Source organism: Homo sapiens, chromosome 17 (assembly GCF_000001405.40).
Source record: "Homo sapiens chromosome 17, GRCh38.p14 Primary Assembly".
NCBI lineage: Eukaryota > Metazoa > Chordata > Mammalia > Primates > Hominidae > Homo > Homo sapiens.
The window spans coordinates 40,957,907-40,976,921 of NC_000017.11; the positions used below are offsets into that span (position 1 = coordinate 40,957,907).

At 40.0% G+C, this 19,015-nt stretch overlaps 1 protein-coding gene and 1 long non-coding RNA gene across 3 annotated transcripts in view; one reads left to right on the forward strand and one right to left on the reverse strand.

Annotated features, from left to right (window-relative positions):
• LOC107985072 (uncharacterized) overlaps positions 1-19,015 on the forward strand; it is a 55,255-nt gene that overhangs the window by 29,304 nt on the left and 6,936 nt on the right. For both annotated transcript variants that reach the window (XR_001752886.2, XR_001752885.2), the window contains exon 2: positions 17,591-17,698. This is a non-coding gene — a long non-coding RNA (uncharacterized LOC107985072). The remainder of the gene's footprint in view (positions 1-17,590; positions 17,699-19,015) is intronic.
• KRT39 (keratin 39) lies at positions 511-9,042 on the reverse strand. The gene is made up of 7 exons (NM_213656.4): positions 8,483-9,042; positions 6,540-6,622; positions 5,721-5,877; positions 4,496-4,657; positions 4,256-4,381; positions 2,375-2,595; positions 511-953 (listed from the first exon to the last, which is right to left on the reverse strand). The coding sequence occupies exons 1-7, from the start codon at positions 8,948-8,950 to the stop codon at positions 695-697; spliced, it is 1,476 nt and encodes a 491-aa protein (NP_998821.3). The 5' UTR covers positions 8,951-9,042; the 3' UTR covers positions 511-694.

A 19,015-nucleotide genomic window follows, 5' to 3' on the forward strand; every position in this document is an offset into this window, starting at 1 on the left:
TTCTAGATTCACTCCCCACAACTTATCTGATTCTCAAATAAAATATTTGGAGAGCCTAATAGGTCACAAAGTTTTGGAGACCATGGACATTTAAAAAAATATCTTTGGAAAGGTAAAGTATGTTAGTATAGATAAATCATAATTAAGACAGCAGAGTTTAATAGGATCCATACTCGTGACTATCTACACAAGTGAATTAAATATTAAAGATCTTTTCCCCTATTTATACTGTTCCCATATATGTTTCTTTCTGTATCCAAAGACATTTAGAAGGGAAGGTTGTAGCTTTTCACCTTCAGGTGCCGGTGGCCAAAAACAACCCTAAACTTGTCTGACTGGCTCTAAGGAGGAATGTCGGTAAACAAGGCCTGAGTAAACAAGAGAGAGACCTGCCCATCAATCACCTGGGTAGTCAAGCAATGTAGGCCATCTTCCTGGGTGCTTACAAATCAGTTCCCATCCCTCAGATAAATGCAAAACATCCTTCCAGAGAAATGTAATTTATTATCATGTTAGCAGTGGTGAGTTAGGGAAGGAGCAGAATAAAAGATATTCTACCTAGCAATGGGGACCCGCTGTAGTAGTAAGAAACTAAGTACCTTAAGGGACTGGGGAGTTTTCTTAAACCTCTCTGGCAGGAGCATGTATTGGCCTCTGTTTCATAAATGTGGGTCATTTTCATCACCTTGGGATGTTAGACTTTGGCAGGTCTGATGATGAAACAAGGCTGCACATGCTCGTAAGAAGAAATGACCTTCCCATCCTTAATCTCCTTGGTGATGGTGCAAATTTTAACCAGTATCCGGGACAGGGGTCCGCAGGCACTGCAGTGCTCCTTTAAGCTGCAGGGGGATGAGGATGTGCAAGCTGGGGCCGTGCTTTCTATGGCTCCGGACTTACAAGATGTCCAAGGGGAAGGCTCACATTTGGTGGCACGTGGGTAACAGGGACGCCTAAGGAAAAAAAACACAATTTTAGCTGTGATTGAGGGAAGGCGATGATGGTCATGGAGAAAAATGATTGTGGCTAATTTTTTTAACACGTGTTGCTCAAGACAAGTACATACTTCTAAATGCTTATTCATTTATTTTGTACTGTAGTTACTGGAAGAAAAAGAATCAGATTAAATCCATTGGAAATCAGCATCCTAGGTTTAGAAGTATTCGATTATGTAAGTTTCCATTAGTCAATACCATCACATTGTGGAAAGAATACTGCACTAGCAGTCAAAAGACTGAGGCAGAGACCAGCTCTGTCCTTTACCAGCTGGTGACCTCAGCTAAGTCATTTAACGCACTCAACCTTTAGTTTTTCATCTGCAGAATGGATATAATGGAAACTAAACCCACAGGATCAACAGTGATAAGGAACAAGTTGAGGGCATTATTATCCGAGGAATGGAAATTAACCAGATATTTTTCTCATTGAGGAGTTAGTCATACTAATAGTGGTGGCCTGAACCCCAGCTATGAAAGAGTCCTCACTGTGTCATCAGGAAGCTTCAAAGTGCCTTCTGGCTGTCTATGCATAGTTTTTAGAGAACTGAAGTAAAAAGCAGTTCATAGTAAACACTCTTTTTATAAACATAATCTTTCTTTGATGATTCGAGGTATTTTGGTATATGATCACAGCTCCTAAAGGTGACAGCATTGATGACCATTGTGCTCACATAATGTGGTCATGCCAATTAAAAGAATGCTGTGAAGAGTTCACTGATTATTTTCGGGAAGTAGGTCTCCTTTGCAATTGTAACTAAGTCTCTGGGGTTTTAGTTTGGACTGAGTTGCTTCAAAGAACTCATCCTCCATATATGTTTACTTATGGGTTGGTTAGCTTCTTATTGCTTACAAAAATTATAACTTTTATTTTTTAAAAAAGATGCTAAAACATACATGTGTACATGCTTCTGTTGGCCTCAAGGACTAGTGGCTAGATAGGGTTAGGGGTTTCAGCCTGAGCAGAATGTTCCTCCAAAGGAGCCTGGGTTGTTTTGTACAAGCTCATGAAAATCAGACGTTCATCTCAGTGGGGAAACATCTGTAATGGTCACCAGGAATATTCATCTATGGGGAAATAATTTTTTCTCTAGTAATTTTTAAAACTCTAAGAAGGTAAGCAACCTATAAGAAATTAACCTGGCCCATGGGCTCTTCAGAACAGCTCAGGTCAGCCAATGCCTCAAATTTGGATAAGGTTACAATTGCAAGTCTTCCTCATGGCACAGCTTGAGAGGGTGTGTGGATGCCTCTGTCCAAGCTCCCCATCACTGGCAAGAAGGTCAAACAAAGCACTTGACCCCTGTTGCCAGTGGCAGTACATATATCTGCGTTCATTTACACTTTTTTGTCATAGAAGTTGCTGTTATTTTACATACTTGCCATCCGAGCTCTCCAGAAGGCTGCGGTATGTGGTAATCTCACATTCCAGCCGGGACTTGACGTCCAGCAGGATCTCGTATTCTTGGTTCTGTCTTTCCAGGGCACACCGGATCTCTGCCAGCTGAGCTTCCAGGTTATCAATCAGACTCTGGATCTGGGTCAGCAAGGCCGTGTAGCGAGCCTCTGTCTCCGTTAGGATGCACTCTTGGGAATCTCTCTACCATGGAGAAGGATAGTAGGATTTATAATGACTCCTTTAAGCCCAGGTCACCTGTGACCTGTATCATTTAAAAAAAATGGTTTCTTTGTGACACTACTGATAGATCTCCAAGCACTTTATTTATTGTTTCCTAATCAAATAAATCCAAAACCCAAATGATCAACTATGCTAAAATCTGCTTTCCTTTATCTCTTCCCTCTTTCTCTCTTTCTCTTTTTGCTTCTCTGTAAGTATTTGTTTCACTTTCTCTTTCTTGACCAACCAATAGTCTCGCACCACACTTTCCTACTTAGGAGAGAAAAAATAATAACTTAATGCACACCCAGGCATTAAAAATGCATTACTGGCTGGGCGCAGTGGCTCACGCCTATAATCCCAGCACTTTGGGAGGCCCAGGTGGGTGGATCACAAGGTCAGGAGTTCAAGACCAGCCTGGCCAAGATGGTGAAACCCCGTCTCTACTAAAAATACAAAAAATTAGCTGGGTGTTCTGGTGGGCACCTGTAATCCCAGCTACTTGGGAGGCTAAGGCAGAGAATTGCTTGAACCCGGGAGGTGGAGGTTGCAGTGACCCGAGATCGTGCCACTGCTGTCCAGTCTGGGCGACAGAGTGAGACTCCATCTCAAAAAGAAAAAAAAAAAAAAGCATTACCATGGCACTTCATTCAGTGAGTGTTCGTGTCTTAAAAAAGGAAGGAAGCAATGTTTTACCATATACAATTTATCCACCAGATCAATTCCTTTATATGTAAAATATGAAAGTTGAAACTGATGAGTAAATTTCATTCCTGCTCTATCATTCTGTAAGTCTATGGATAATGATGGGATTTTAGGTTTTAATAGCCTATTATTTGCATGATTATCCCAATTTTTATAGATGAGAAAACTGAGGTTCAAGTGGTTCAATATGTTGTCCAAGGTCACATGACTAGCTGGTGACAAAACCAGTGTGGGGCAAGGTCTTCCCAAAAGCCTTCACATCAGAGCATGTAAGCAATTCTCTACTTCAGAGAGGCATTATCATGAGACAGAATGATACTGGCTTTGGAATCTAAACTCTGGCTCAGACTCTTATTTCTTTTGTGACTTTGGATGAGTTTCTTAATGTCTCAGGATCTCAGTGTCTCTATAAAATAGGTGGGCTGAAACTTACCTTGGATTTGCTTGGGAAAATCACTTTAGCTCTTGGAGCCTCATCTGTAACATTCGTTAATAATTATGCCACCCCCCCTCTTAGGATTGCTTTATAAATCTCATGTGATAGCTTGTAAAAATGCTTTGCATATAATAAAATGCTCTCCCAGTGTTTCCCAAAGTGTACTTCATGAATCATTAATACCATGAGATGTTCTAAAAAAAGTGGGGGGATCCACAGTCAAATAAGTTTTGGAATGCTGAATACCATATACCCCCTTCCTGGAGATTCATGGTGTATATTAGCTTATTAATGGCTCACAGGAAGGCACCCTGTTTAACCTTGGTTTAGTGCAGCGTTTCGTAGACTTATTTGGCCACAAAGCTCTTTTTCAGCCATAGACGCTTTAACAAATGAGGAACTATTGTTCTGAAAGACACAGTTTGGGAAATACTGCAGCACACAGGTGTAAGGGACTGTTTCCATCTTTGCTGAGCTAGGCTTGGTCAGCTTGCTCAGTACCATTCGATGCTGGGCCTGCAGTTCAACCTCCAGAGTGTTCACACTGCGTCTCAGTTCTATGATCTCCTTTTGGCAGCATTGCTGCTGTTGAGAGCTGGTCACCACTTGTTGATTCAGCTCCTCTATCTGAAACACACAGCCAGAGACTGAGAATATTATGGGAGGAAAACATGACTTTGATTAAAGGGCCCTAGAAATGCAGCATCAGCTTATTGTTTTTGACTTTTCTATATCCCCCACCTGCGTGTTGAACCACTGTTCCACATCTTTGCGGTTTGTCTCCATGATGGGCTCATATTGACATCTCATTTCTTGTAGAACCTGGTTTAGGTCAGCAGAAGGGGCAGCAGTCACTTCAATGTCAAGTCTCTCCCCAAGCTGACACTGTAAAGAATTGATTTCCTAAGGAAAGAAAAAGACTGTGAAGTCACTTGGTGAACAGATAACCCCTTTGTGTTCTTGTTTCACTCTAACTGCTACGATTTAGCTTAATTGTGTCTAAAATATAGCCCACAACAAAGGAATACATGATTTACAGGTGTTATTGAGATGCTATAAAATGATTTAAGACTCTTTCAGGTAGGACTGTGTGTTTAAATGTGTGCAAAATTAAAAAAAAATGAGTAGCAAGACCAGAGTTCCAAAAAATTTAGATCATTTCCAGGGCTGGATAATGGGTGAAACAGGATAAAGGTGGAATTGATCATGAGAGATTATAGTCTCTATGGTGCAAATACGGGATTGTGCCAATATTGACTTGCACCAATATTGACTTGTACCAATGGGAGGTGGCAGAAGCCTGTATAGGGATGCCTACAAACATGGGAAGACTGTAAGGACAGAAAAATTGGGTTCCTTCTTGTAGAAAAGCTGGAGGGGATGTTGGAGGCCTTTCTTCCCCTTATGGCTCCAGATATTGTGTTGGAGCCAGTGGATTTGAAATACTACCTTGAACCAGTGCTAGTAGCAGTAGGTATTTTCAGGGCTAAACCAGAGTAGTACGTAGCAGTGGTTTGGCTCTGTGTCCCCACCCAAATCTCATCTCGAATTGTAATTCCCATAATTCCCATGTGTCAAGGGAGGGACCTAGTGGGAGGAGATTGGATCATGGGGGTGGTGTCCCCCATGCTGTTCTTAGGATAGTGAGTGAGTTCTCACAAGATCTGATAGTTTTATAAAGGGCTCTTCCCCCTTTGGTCTCTCTCTGTCTCCTGCTGCCAAGTGAGATGTGCCTGCTTCCCCTTAAGCCATGATTGTAAGTTTCCTGAGGCCTCCCCAGCCATGTGGAACTGTGACTCAGTTACACTTCTGTCCTTTATAAATTACCTACTCTCAGTTATTTCTTTATAGCAGTGTGAGAACGAACTAATACAAGCGGGCACACCCTTTGTCAGGTGCAACTCAAAGGAACTGATGCTACTTTTAGGGACTTAGCTTGTGATTACTCTATTGGTCTTTGTCTCACCTCTTTGTGGTTGTTCTTGAGGCAAAGGAGCTCCTCTTTCAGAGACTGGACTTGTGCCTCTAGGTCGGCCTTGCCCAGGGTCAGCACATTCAGGATCTGCTTGAGGCCATTGGCATCTGACTCTACCAGCTGGCGTAGAGACACCTCAGCTTCGTATCTTTAAAAACCAGATGGGAAAAGAGAGACATCTGAAAGGAGATGATGCAAACCAAGCCAAGCAGAACTCTCATCTGCATTTTGCTCTGGGCACCTCACTTAGTGTATTTCTATTAGAAGTTTTATTCTCTTTGGAGGTGAAACCATTTGATATAGATCATAACTTAATTATTATTCCCAAATTAGTTTGCTAGGGGGATCTACATTGCTGTTCTTTGAGATATGGGAATTTATTGTCCTTCCTCTGCCCCTAGTGGCAATGCAATGTAAGTGAAGAAAGCACTGGATTAGGGCTCAGAAAACATGTGTCCAAGTTTCGGTTTTGACTTGTGCTAGTTATGCTTACCTTTGGGTGAGTAACTTAGCCTCACTAAGCCACAGATTTCTCACCTTAAAGAGAGTAACAATATATTAGTCCTATCTATTTTACTGAACTATTGTGTAGGTAATCAAATGGGTTCACAAGTTAGAAACTATAGGTACTGTATACATGTGAGCAGTTATTAATCTTAATCATTCATTGAATTTGAAAGTCTTTTCTGGGCTTGTGCCAACATCATCTGGGGCAAGAGGGTTAGTAGACATGGGGACAATTTTGTTGAGGGCATCTCGGTCAGACTCAGGGTGAGCTCTGTCATTGATGACGGTGTTGGGTGGGCTTACTTGGCTCTCAAGTCATCTGCAGTCAGTTTGGTGTTGTCAATTTGCGAGACCAGTCTGGAATTCTCGGCCTTGGTACACAAGATCTAGAATTAAGAGATTGTACACACAAATGAAGCAAACACCAAGATTTCCTTCTTTAAGAACCAAGGGGTTTGTGTGTGTGTCAAGTAACAGGGGAAGGCTAAGTAGACTTTTTATTAATCTTCATAGCTATGCTCACAAAGCTTGGAAAACTTCAGAAAGTCAGATTTCCTGTTATTTTCCTAAAAGATCAGCAAAAAGTACTTAACTAGAAACTTTTAAGTATTTTTTTTGTTGTTGTTGTTAAAAAATCCAGGCTGAGAGCAGTGGCTCACCCATGTAATATCAGCACTTGGGAGGCTGAGGCGGGCGGATCACGAGGTCAAGAGATCAAGACCATCCTGGCCAACATGGTGAAACCCTGTCTCTACTAAAAAATACAAAAATTGGCCGGGCGCAGTGGCTCACGCCTGTAATCCCAGCACTTTGGGAGGCCGAGGCGGGTAGATCACGAGGTCAGGAGATCAAGACCATCCTGGCTAACACGGTGAAACCCCGTCTCTACTAAAAATATAAAAAAAAAAAAAATTAGCTGGGCGTGGTGGCGGGCGCCTGTAGTCCCAGCTACTTGGGAGGCTGAGGCAGGAGAATGGCATGAACCCAGGAAGCGGAGCTAGCAGTGAGCCGAGATCGCGCCACTGCACTGCAGCCTGGGAGACAGAGCGAGACTCCGTCTCAAAAAAAAAAAAAAATACAAAAATTATCTGGGTGTGGTGGTGCGTGCCTGTAGACCCAGCTACTAGAGAGGCAGAGGAGGGAGAATCGCTTGAACCTGGGAGCTGGAGGTTGCAGTGAGCAGAGATCGCGCCATTGCACTCCAGCCTGGTGACAGAGTGAGACTCCATCTCAATAAATACATAAATAAATAAATAAAAAATAAAATAAAATCCATCCTAAATTTATATAAATACCATGATCCACTAGAATGTCAACTCCATGAGGGCAGGGACTTTTTAAAGGTCACCAATATTTTCCCAGAATCTAGAACAATGTTTGGCCCAATGTTGTTGCTGCTCAGTAAACATTTGTTGAATGAATAAAACTGAATAAATCCAGATATGTAGTAGCAGAATACGTCTGTGCATAACAAACTTAGGTTTGGTGTAGAAACAAACCAAGCAATGTGGAGATGATAACATAAGCATAAAAGGAGAAAAAGGTGGTGATGGTTGAAAAATGGATAAAAACTAAATTGCTTAGAAACTCATTAAAGCAAAATTTATTTTCTCTGATCTCTGTTTCCCTATTTTTATTTAAAAAATGGCAACAACTTGCTGTTAACATCTTTTGGTCCTGAGTCATCTAGTTATAATGGTAGAGTGTATTTCTGGAGAAAGGAAACACCATGAGACTCTTCTTTTTGTTTCTGATTTTTAAAGACATAGTCTCACTTTTGTCTGGGCTGGAGTGCAGTGGCAGGATCTTGGCTCATGGCAGCCTCAACCTCTTGGGCTCAAGTGATCCTCCCACCTCAGCCTCCCAAGTAGCTGGGACCACAGGCATGTGCCACCACGCCCATCTAATTTTTTTTTGTGTGTGTATGTGTGTGTGTGTGTGTGTGTGTGTAAGGATGGAATTTCATCATGTTGCCCAGGATGGTCTAGAACTCCTGGGCTCAAGTGATCTGTCTGCCTCAGCCTCCCAAAGTGTTAGGATTACAGGTGTGCATCACTGCGCCTGACCAGAAATACTATCAGACTCTGAATGCTGCCTCAAGATGACAATTTCACTCAAGAAATTTTTCTATTCTTCAAAAAAATTTTCAGCATCAACTGAACAAAAAATATTAAAGTTTAGCAAATAACTGTTGCTTGGAAACCATTAATTCACAACACGATTAAACAGGTTCTTAGGAATCTTACCTTCTGCTGGAGCTCCTCAATGGTAGTGTAGTAAGACAGGTAATCAGGACATAGAACAGGGAGCTCTTTGTTACTTTCTTCCTGGATTTTAGATTCCAGTTCAGCATTCTCTCGTTCTAGCATTCGCACCTTTTGCAGGTAGTTAGCAAGGCGCTCGTTCAAGATTTGCATGGTCTCCTTCTCATTACTGTTGATGCCTTCACCATACCAGCTGCAGTCATCCAGAGAAAAACGGGCATTGAAGTTGTTCATTAGGTAGATGGGCTTGCGACAAAAGCGAGGAGTGGGTTGGCAGCCCTGGTCCCAGGGAATTCTGAGAACGTGGCCAGCTGGTTGACAGTTGTTGACTGTAAGGCCACCAGGATGGCAGCCGTTGTTAGAAGAGATGGTACTAACATTTGTAATCCTAGAGCAGTTTTGACATGGGGTTGAAGGAGAATTGGTTGTTGTACAGCCCTTGGTGTCCATAGTATGTGTCTGGCTTTAGTTTGTTCCAGGTCTGTGGTCACCAGGATGAAAAGCTCAAGCCACCTCCACAGAGTCTGAATTCCAAGGCTCTTGGTGTTTTCCTCTTTGAAGTGCTTATATAGCCTCTCTTCTACGTGGTGTCACACAGGTGGGATGTTTTCCTTTCTCAGGTTTATATCAAATCCTGTAGGAACATCTTATTAGTCTGCTTTTTACTTGCTTAAGAAGAGTTATTTGTCTCATAAACATGTGCATTTAGGCTGTTAGTAAGTTATTACCCATCATAACTACTACTTGTCTATTGGACCCAGAGCTTCAAATTATGTCTTCAAAAGGAACTGTCCTAACAGCATCCATTATTAAGCAGGTGTGAGTATACTAAGTTCATTACATTCTTGTTGACCTCTCCACTTGGCACTGAGCTTAACCAGGAATGAGTTCATCCTTCTTTTCCTTTCTTCTCTAGAAAAGGGAAACTATTAATGTTTAATAATTATTGGTAAACTTAGAAATCAGAAGTCAATATTTTAGTTTGTTCTGCCCAAATGGTTTCCCCATTTTCAGTGTCAGGACAATGTGAGTATGAATTAAAATGTTAGTCTTTTAAAAGTCTTGTTTTAAAGATAATTGCTAGATTTATGTTTTAGCTTTCCATAAAATGTAATAACATAAAATAAAATATAAATAAAATATGAAATAAAATAAAAGCCATGGGGAAAAGGTAGGGTTTGATTGCTAATAAGAAATTTCTTGGAAAAGAGACTAGCTCTCTTTTGGTTTTCCAAAGTCCACATTTTATAACATTTTTAGTGCTTGGTGTTTGCTTGTGGTATTACATTAGATAAAAATGTATCACAGTGTTGGTTTATACTGGATGTTTAAATAGGATTCATTGAAAGGGGTGTGTTTTCTTTCTGAGGAATACTTACTCAGCATTTTCTTCAGAAAGTTACTTGCTGCTAATCCTTTATGGAGGCTCTAGGGGAACATCATTTTCTTGCCTTTTCCAGCTTCTACAGGCTGTCCACATCCTCAGCTAGTGGCCCCTTTTCATCCTTTTTTTTTTTTCTTGAATTATGAGATTTTTTGTACTTTGAGTTCTGGGATACATGTGCAGAACGTGCAGGTTTGCTACATAGGTATACAAGTGCCATGGTGGTTTGCTGTACCCATCAACCTGTCATCTACATTAGGTATTTCTCCTAATGCTATCCCACCCCTAGCCCCTCACCCCCTCACAGTCCCCGGTGTGATGTTCCCCTCCCTGTGTCCATGTGTGCTCATTGTTCAACTCCCACTTATGAGTGAGAACATGCAGTGTTTGGTTTTCTGTTCCTGTGTGAGTTTGCTGAGAATGATGGTTTCCAGCTTTATTCATGTCCCTGCAAAGGACATGAACTAATCCTTTATTATGGCTGTATAGTATTCCATGGTGTATATGTGCCACATTTTCTTTATCCAGTCCATCATTGATGGGCATTTGGGTTGGTTCCATGTCTTTGCTATTGTGAATAGTGCTGCAATAAACATACATGTGCATGTGTCTTTATAGTAGAATGATTTATAATCCTTTGGGTATGTATCAAGTAATAGGATTGCTGGGTCAAACTGTATTTATGGTTCTTGATCCTTAAGAAATTGCCACACTGTCTTCTGCATTGGTTGAACTAATTTACACTCCCACCAACTGTGTAAAAGTGTTCCAATTTCTCTCCATCCTCTCCAGCATCTGTTGTTTCCTGACTTTTTAATGATTGTCATTCTAACTGGTGTGAGATGGTATCTCATTGTGGTTTGATTTGCATTTCTCTAGTGACCAGTGATGATGAGCTTTTTTCATATGTTTGTTGGCCACATAAATGTCTTCTTTTGAGAAGTGTCTTTCTATATCCTTAGCCCATTTTTTTGATGGGGTTGTTTGTTTTTTCTTGTAAATTTGTTTAAGTTCCTTGTAGATTCTGTATATTAGCCCTTTGTCAGATGGACAGATTGCAAAAATTTTCTCCCATTCTGTAGGAGGCTGAGGCAGAAGAATTACTTGAACCCAGGAGTTCAAGTTCAGGTGGGCAACACAGTGCGATTTCATTTTTAATAAAATAAAATAAAATACAAAATAAAAGCCATGGGGAAAAGGTAGACCGTTATATGTATTATATGTACTTTGGGGACAATTTTGTATTCCCTTTGGTGTGGGGGCAGGGAATGTTGAAACCATACTTCATCCTTTACAGTGGGACGAATTACAAGTAGATCAAAGATTGAGATATGAAAAATAAATAATAAATATGCCCAAAAGGATAATTATTTTATAAATTTGGAGTCAGAAGACTTTTCCAATGATGACTCAAAATTAAGAAGCCGTAAAAAACTGTTAGATTTGACTCCATAAAATAACAGTGTTTGAACTTGTGCTTGGGTGAAAAATACAACCTGTAAAACCAGAAGACAAGATGACAAACTGGGAAACAATATTACAATTACACTCTAGACAGTGACCAAAAGGAAAATACAAAAGGCACTTAAAATAAGAAAAAATGCTCAATGTCACTCATGAAAAGAGAAATGTAAATTTAAATTATACTGAGATATTTTAGTTTTCCACCTATCAAACTGAAAAAAATCAAAGTTTGATAACAGATACATTCACTGCCTATAGCACTCTCATTGCTTGTGGCAATGAAATGTAAATTCATGCAAGTTACTATAATGCTACTACAATTAAAACAGTGTGATATTGGCATAAGGGTTGGAAAGTAGATCAATGAGAAAGAATATAGAGTTTAGAAATAGACTCACATATATGTGGTCAATTGATTTCTGACAAAGATCCCAAAGCAAGTCAATGAGAAAAGGAAAGCTTTTTCAATACTGTTTTTTCAATACTGTTCAATACTTGTCGCTGAATCAAGTGGATACTTGTATAGCCAAAATGAATACATCTTGATCTCTACCTCACGCTACGTATAAAACTTAATTCAGGTTGGATTAAACACTTAATTGTGAAGATTTCAAGTCTAAAGTTTTTAGAAGAAAACTCAGAAGATTATATTCATAACCTTCTGCCATGAGAAGACTTCTAAGCTCATGGAGGACACTATAATAAATAGATTAGACTTCATCAAAATGAAAACCTTTTGTTGATCAGATAAATAGCTAAGAAAGTGAAAAGGCAAGCTACAGCCTGGGTTAAAATATTCTCTCTCTCTCTTCATACACCCACCCCCCAACGCACACATTAGAACACATACATACACAACGTCATATCTTTTGTAACAATGGGAATATATTCTGAGAAATTCACCTTTAGTGATTTTGTTGTTGTGTAAACATCACAGTGGACTTCATGAACCTGGATGGTATAGCCTATAACACACTTAGGCTATATGGTATAGTCTATTGCTCATAGGCTGTAAACCTGCACAGCATGTTACTGTACTGAATACAGTAGGCAACTGTAACACAATGGTAAGTATTTGTTATCTGGAAACACATTTAAACATAGAAAAGGTACAATAAAAATATGACATTATAGTTTTTTGGGACAGCTTTTGTATGTGTATGTTCCATCATTGTTGACTGAAATGTCATTATGTGGCACATGACTCTATAAATAAATATGTGTATAAAAATAAATAAACACATATTTATTTATACAGTAATATACTATCTCTCTCTCTCTCTCTCTCTCTCTCTGACAAAGGACCTCCCCCAAGGACCTAGCAATTTCATGGTTAGGTATATGTCCAAGAGAGATGAATGTATATATTTTATACACACAATAATATTTGCACAAGAATGCTTATAGCAGCTATATTCTTAATAGCACTAAAATAAAAATAACTGCTCATAAACAGAATAATGGACAACAAACTGTGACATGTTTATGTAATGGAGTAGTATGCAACAACAATAAAGAATGAACTGCCGGTACTCATGACACCATGGAAAAATCTCAAAAACATATTGAGCTGAAGAAGTCAGGCACAAAACAGTACGAACAGTATGACTACATTTATATTAACTTCAAGAACAGGCAAAACTCATCTTTGACATGGTTAGAGATAAGAGTAGTGGTTGTCTCTGTCAGAGAGATGTACTGGCTGGAAAGCAACAAGAAAGAATTTCTAAGGTTGATGTTCTACATTTTGAAATGCTATTCTGTATCTTGATCTGGGTGTTGATTACACAAATTCATGTGCTTTCAAACTCCATGAAGCTGCCTACTTTTATTTTTATTTTTAGACACAGGGTCTCACTCTATTGCCCAGGCTGGAGTTTAGTAGCATGATCATAGCTCACTGAAGCCTTGAATTACTGGGCTCAAGTTGTCTTCCCACCTCAGCTTCCCAAGTAGCTGGGACTACAGGCACATGCCACCATGCCTGGCTAATTTAAAAAAATTTTTTTAGAGATGGGGCCTCATTATGTTGCCCAGGCTGGCATAAACTCCTAACCTCAACTGATCCTCCCACCTTGGCCTCCCAAAGCACTGGGATTACAAGCGTGAGCCACTGTGCCCAGCCTGACCTGCGCACTTTCAATTGATGCATCTTATTGTCTGAAAATTGTATCTCAATAAAGTGGAGTTAACATAAAAAGTTAAGATTTGATACAACTGTGCAGCTGCATGAATGTTCACTACTTTATCTATATACTTAAATTACAAATGGATCAAAGATTCAAATGTGAAAAGTGAAAATCATAAATGTACTAAAATAAAATATAGGAGAATACTTTTACAAATTCAGATGAGGAAGGCCTTTGTAACAGTGACTTGAAATTAAGAACCTGTAAAAAATACGATAAATTTGACTTCATAAAATAGCAGTGTTTGAAATAGTCCATTAGTTTGAAAATGTATGAAAAATACTGAAAGTAAATAAATCAAGAGGTTAGCAGTGAAATTCTTTGCATTTTATAGTTACTGATGAATATTATTTTCTTGTTTTTATTCCACAAATTCCACAAATTGAATGTATCTCTTTTAGAATCATTAGAAAAATTGTCTGCAAAACTGTTTCTGCTTCGTTAGTTTCTTAGACTTTTTTTCTGCCTCCATACCTTTCTAATAATTTTTATTCTTTTCCTCTTGTGTCTCACATGCAGAGTTGTTCCTTCCTTGGCTGATTCCCTTTTGATTTCTTCAGGGCCACATTTCATCCATTATGCTCCCCCTTTTCTTGCCTCTTTCATGTCTTCTTTACTACTGGATCATTTTTTCTTTCCCTATAAGCACATCTGTTAACTGATCCTACAATGTCTGACCCGTAACCATGAGGCACTTCTTCCATGAAGGTGGCTTCTGCCTTCTTTTCATTACCAAACCTTTTGACAGAATAGTGGGTACTTATTGTCTTTATTTTTCTACCACCAGGTCATTTGTTAACTTTTGTCAATCTGGCTAGCCTGTAAATTACTTTACCACATTCTCCACTTTGGAGATCTTCTTTATCTACCTTCATATAGCTCCATTGCTGGTGCAGAAATGTTCAACCTTCCTACAGACAGAGCAAGGCTCAAATTCTTGTTTGCCTGGCAACCAAGACCCTCCACAATATTGACCCAGCTGACTTTATCTCATATTCCAGGACCCCCGACCCACTCTATACATTCTAGCCCAACTGCATCCTTTGCTATTCCCCAAGCTCTTCCTGCCCTGTTCCCCCACTGCACATTTATTGTGGGGGTTCCCTCTACCTTTCTTCATCTGTGTGTTTCAAGGCTGTTCTGGAAGAGACTCGGGCTCACGCATATCTGGTTCTCCTCTCCTTTTGGGCACATGGGAGGCTTACCCTCTCTTGCCCCTTTGCAGTTAGGCAGGGTATTACCAAGGCTTTGTTTTCTGGTTCAAGATCTTTGGGCTGTCTCTTCCCTGCCCCAGGCACTGAGAAGGCAGCTGTTCTAGAAGTGCTTCTCTCTTCTCTTTTCTTTTTTTGAGTGTCATTTTGGAGAATCTCAGCTGTAAAAACTCAAGTCCACACTGCCTGGAAGATCGAATCTGGAAGTGATAGAAAGTTCTCTTGACAGCTTTGCCCCTGTCTTTCTGAGAAAGGGGTTGTGCACAACATAGGAAGAATGGGCACTGGGGCCAGCCTGAGACCAGTAGCTGAGTGATAGGAAGGCCTTATCTGCCTCTGTAGAGCCAGTGAGGAATCCATGAATTGTAAATATTAAATTTACATAGATTAAATATTTAAAATATTAAATCTAATATTGTAAATATTAGATTTCTGAATCGTGGGCACTTTTTTTTTTTTTTTTTTGAGACGGAGTCTCACTCTGTCGCCCAGGCTGGAGTGCAGTGGCGCGATCTCAGCTTACTGCAACCTCCACCTCCTGGGTTCAAGCAATTCTCCTGCCTCAGCCTCCCAAGTAGCTGGGATTACATGCGTGCACCACTATGCCTGGTTAATTTTTGTATTTTTAGTGGAGACGGGGTTTCACCATGTTGGCCAGGCTGGTCTCAAACTCCTGACCTCATGATCTGCCTGCCTCAGCCTCCCAAAGTGCTGGGGTTAGAGGTGTGTGCCACCGCACCTGGCCACATATATGTTTTCTTCACATGGGTGGTGCAATCAAAATATGGAACTATTCAATCACCACAGAGCTTTCCTTTGTCCTATGCCTAATTTGTTCTCCATTCTTATAATTGTGTCATTTCAAGAATGTTATATACATAGAATTATCAAATATATGGCCCTTTGAATTGCCCTTTTTCACTCGGCATGATGGCCTTGAGATCTTTAGGACATTTCTGTGATCTCTAGTTTTTGGCTATTACAAACAAAGCTGCTATGAACAATTGTGCATCTCTTCAATCCTTTTACTTTCAACCTACCTATATTGTTATATTTAGCTTTTTGCAGAATGTATCGTACAGTTGGATCATGCTTTTTTATCCACTCTGCCAAGATCTGTCTTTTTTCTATGTCTTTAGACTCTTTCCACTTGCTGTAATTTTCTATATTTAGCCTGTATTGTATTTATTGTATTCTGTTTGTTCATTCTGTTTTTTGTTTGTTTCTCTGTATTCTTTTTCCTGCCTTTCTGTGGGTTACTTGAATATGCTTTAGAGTTCCATTTTGATTTATCTATAGTGTTTTTTAGTATACCTATTGGCATAGCTTTTTAAATAGTTGCTCTGGGTATTTCATGCTGTATGCATAGCTTACCATAGTCTACCAGTGTTAACGTTTTATCAGTTTAAGTGAAGTGTGGAAAACTCGCCTTTGTTTATATTCCTTTACTCGCCTCCATTTTAATATAATTGTCTTAAATATTTTCTACACATATATTGAGAACCACATCAGACAGTGTTATACTTCTTGCCTCAACCATGAAACATAATTTAGAAAACTCAGGAGGAGAAAGAAATTTATTTAAATTAATCATATATTAATTTTTTATTATATTTTTTCCTGTCTGATCTTCCAAGTTTCCTTATTTTATAGTTTTGTTTGTGTTTAGGGAATTTTCTTTAGTCATTGTTTTAGGTTGGTTTGCTGGCCACATCTTTTAAGTTTCCTTCATCTGAGAATGTCTTGATTTCTCTTTGGTTTTCTGAACGATATTTTCAAAGGGTATATAAATCTGGGTTGACAGTTTCTTTCTCTCTTTCTTTCTTTCTTTCTTTCTTCCTTCCTTCCTTTCCTTCTTCTTTTCCTTCCTTCCTTCCCTCCCTCCCTTCCTTCATTCCTTCCTTCCTTTCCTTCTTCTTTTCCTTCCTTCCTTCCCTTCCTCCCTCCCTCCCTCCTTCCTTCGTTCCGTCCCTCCCTCCCTCCTTTCTTTTCTTCTTTTCTTTTCTCTTTTCTTTTTCCTTCTTTCTTTCCTTCCTTCCTTCTCTTCTCTTCTTTCTCTTTCTTTCTTTCTCTCTCTCTCTTTGTTTCTCTTTCCTTTCCTTCCCTCCCTCCCTCTCTCCCTCCCTTCCTTCCTTTTTCTTTTTTGTCTTGCTCTGTCACCCAGGCTGGAGTGCAGTGGCACGATCTCTGCTCACTGCAACCTCCGCCTCCCGGGTTCAAGCAATTCTCCTGCCTCAGTCTCCCGAGTAGCTGGGATTACAGGTGCCCGCCACCGCACCCAGCAAATTTTTGTATTTTCAGTAGAGATGGGGTTTCACCATGTTGGCCAGGATGGTCTCGATCTCTTGACCTTGTAATCCATCCTCCTTGGCCTCCCAAAGTGCTGGGATTACAGGTGTGAGTCACCACGCCTGGCCGACAGTTTTTTTTTTTCTTTTAGCATTTGAAAACTATTGTATTACTTCATATTGGCTTCCATGGTTTATGGTGACATACCTGCCATCAATTAAATTGTTTTCTTCTATTGGTAAGGTGTCATTTCTCTCTCACTGCTTTCATAATTTTTTTTGTCTTTAGCTTTCAAAAGTTTGAATATGATATTTCCTGGTGTAGATTTCTTAGGGTTTATCATTTTTGGGGTTTGCTTGGTTTCTGGAATCTGTAGGTTTTTGTCTTTTGCCATATTTGTAAATTTTCAGTGTTTATTCCTTCAAATGTTTTTGGCTTCACTTTTTCTCCTCCCTTACAGAACTCCACTGACATGAATGTTAGATCGTTTGATATAGCCCCAAAATTCCCTGAGACTCTATCTTTTTAACACTATTTTTTTTCCGTTTTTCAGGTCGGATGATGTCTATTATTGTATCATCAAATTCCCTGATGTTTTCCTCTCTGGCCTGCATTCTGCTGTTAAGCCCATCTCCATTGAGGTTTCTATTTTGGTTCTATGGTATGTTTCAGTTCTGAAATTTCCACTGGAGTCTTTCCATCTTCTTCATTGAGTCTTCTCTATTTTTGCATTTGTTGTAAGAGTTTATTGAAGCATTGCTTACTGAAGCATTTTTATGATGACTATTTAAAAATCATTGTCAATAAGTAAAATAGTGTAACTGGATGTTTGTAACACCAAAGATACATGCTTGAGGGGATGGACACCCCATTCTCCATGTGATTATTACACATTGCATGCCTGTGTCAAATCATCTCATGTACCCCATAAATATATACATCTATGTACCCAGAAAAATAACAAATAAAAAGTTAAAAACCCTTGTCAGTTAATTCTAACGTCTTTTTCCTCTTGATGTTTGAATTTGTTGATCATCTTTTTTCCTGTAAGTTGAGATTTTATGATCCTTGGTATAAAGAGCAATTGTTGATTGAAACCTGGACATTGGGGCATTATGTTATGAGATTCAGGATACTGTTTAATCTTATGTTCTAGCAGGTCTCCTCTGACACTGTTTTGGCAGGGGAAGGGGGACACTGCTTCATTCCTACCAGGTGGGAGTAGAAATACAGGTTCTCTCCACTTTGCCCCTATTGACACCCAAGGGGAGAGCCCCCCTCATCACTGCTGGGAGGGAGGATTTTAGACTCCTTACCTGGCCTCTGCTGATACCACCCTGGCCAGGAGGGGCAGGAATATCTTGTTATTGCTCCCATGCAGCTTCCACTGACACTGCATGGGGGTGGCCTTGGTACTGCTGGAGGAGGGAAAGAGTTCTGACTGTCCAGTAGGACTCTTGTGACACTAACCCCAGAGGAGAAAAGAAGAGCCTCACTGCAGCCTGTAGAGTTAAGTCCAGGCTTCCCGTGTGGTCTCCACTGATACCATGATGGTGGGACAGGGAGTGCTTCCATGTCTCATAGTAGGAATGAAAGTCCTGGATCTCTCACTTAGCCTTCCCTGATTCCACCCCAGTGGTGAAGTTTGAGTGCCTTATTACAGCCTGGGAAGGATAGAAGTCTGGACTCCCCACCTGGCCTTTCCTTGTGTGGATATGGGTGGGTGAAATGATATTTTCTGTGGTGTTTGGCTGAGTTGAGTGGTTATTGTCTAAAGGTTTTCCGCCTTTCTAGGCTGCCTCTTTTCTGGTTCTTTAAGCAGAGCAAGCTCTTTCTGTTTGTTTGTTTGTTTGTTTTGTCTGCACCTGTTGGTGTTTCTGGTTGTTGGTTTCTCCAGCTCCCCCTCTGGGATATATGAGATAAAAAGCTAATCCAGGGAGCTCACCACAGTGTCACTCCTGGAGTCTCAACATCTTTA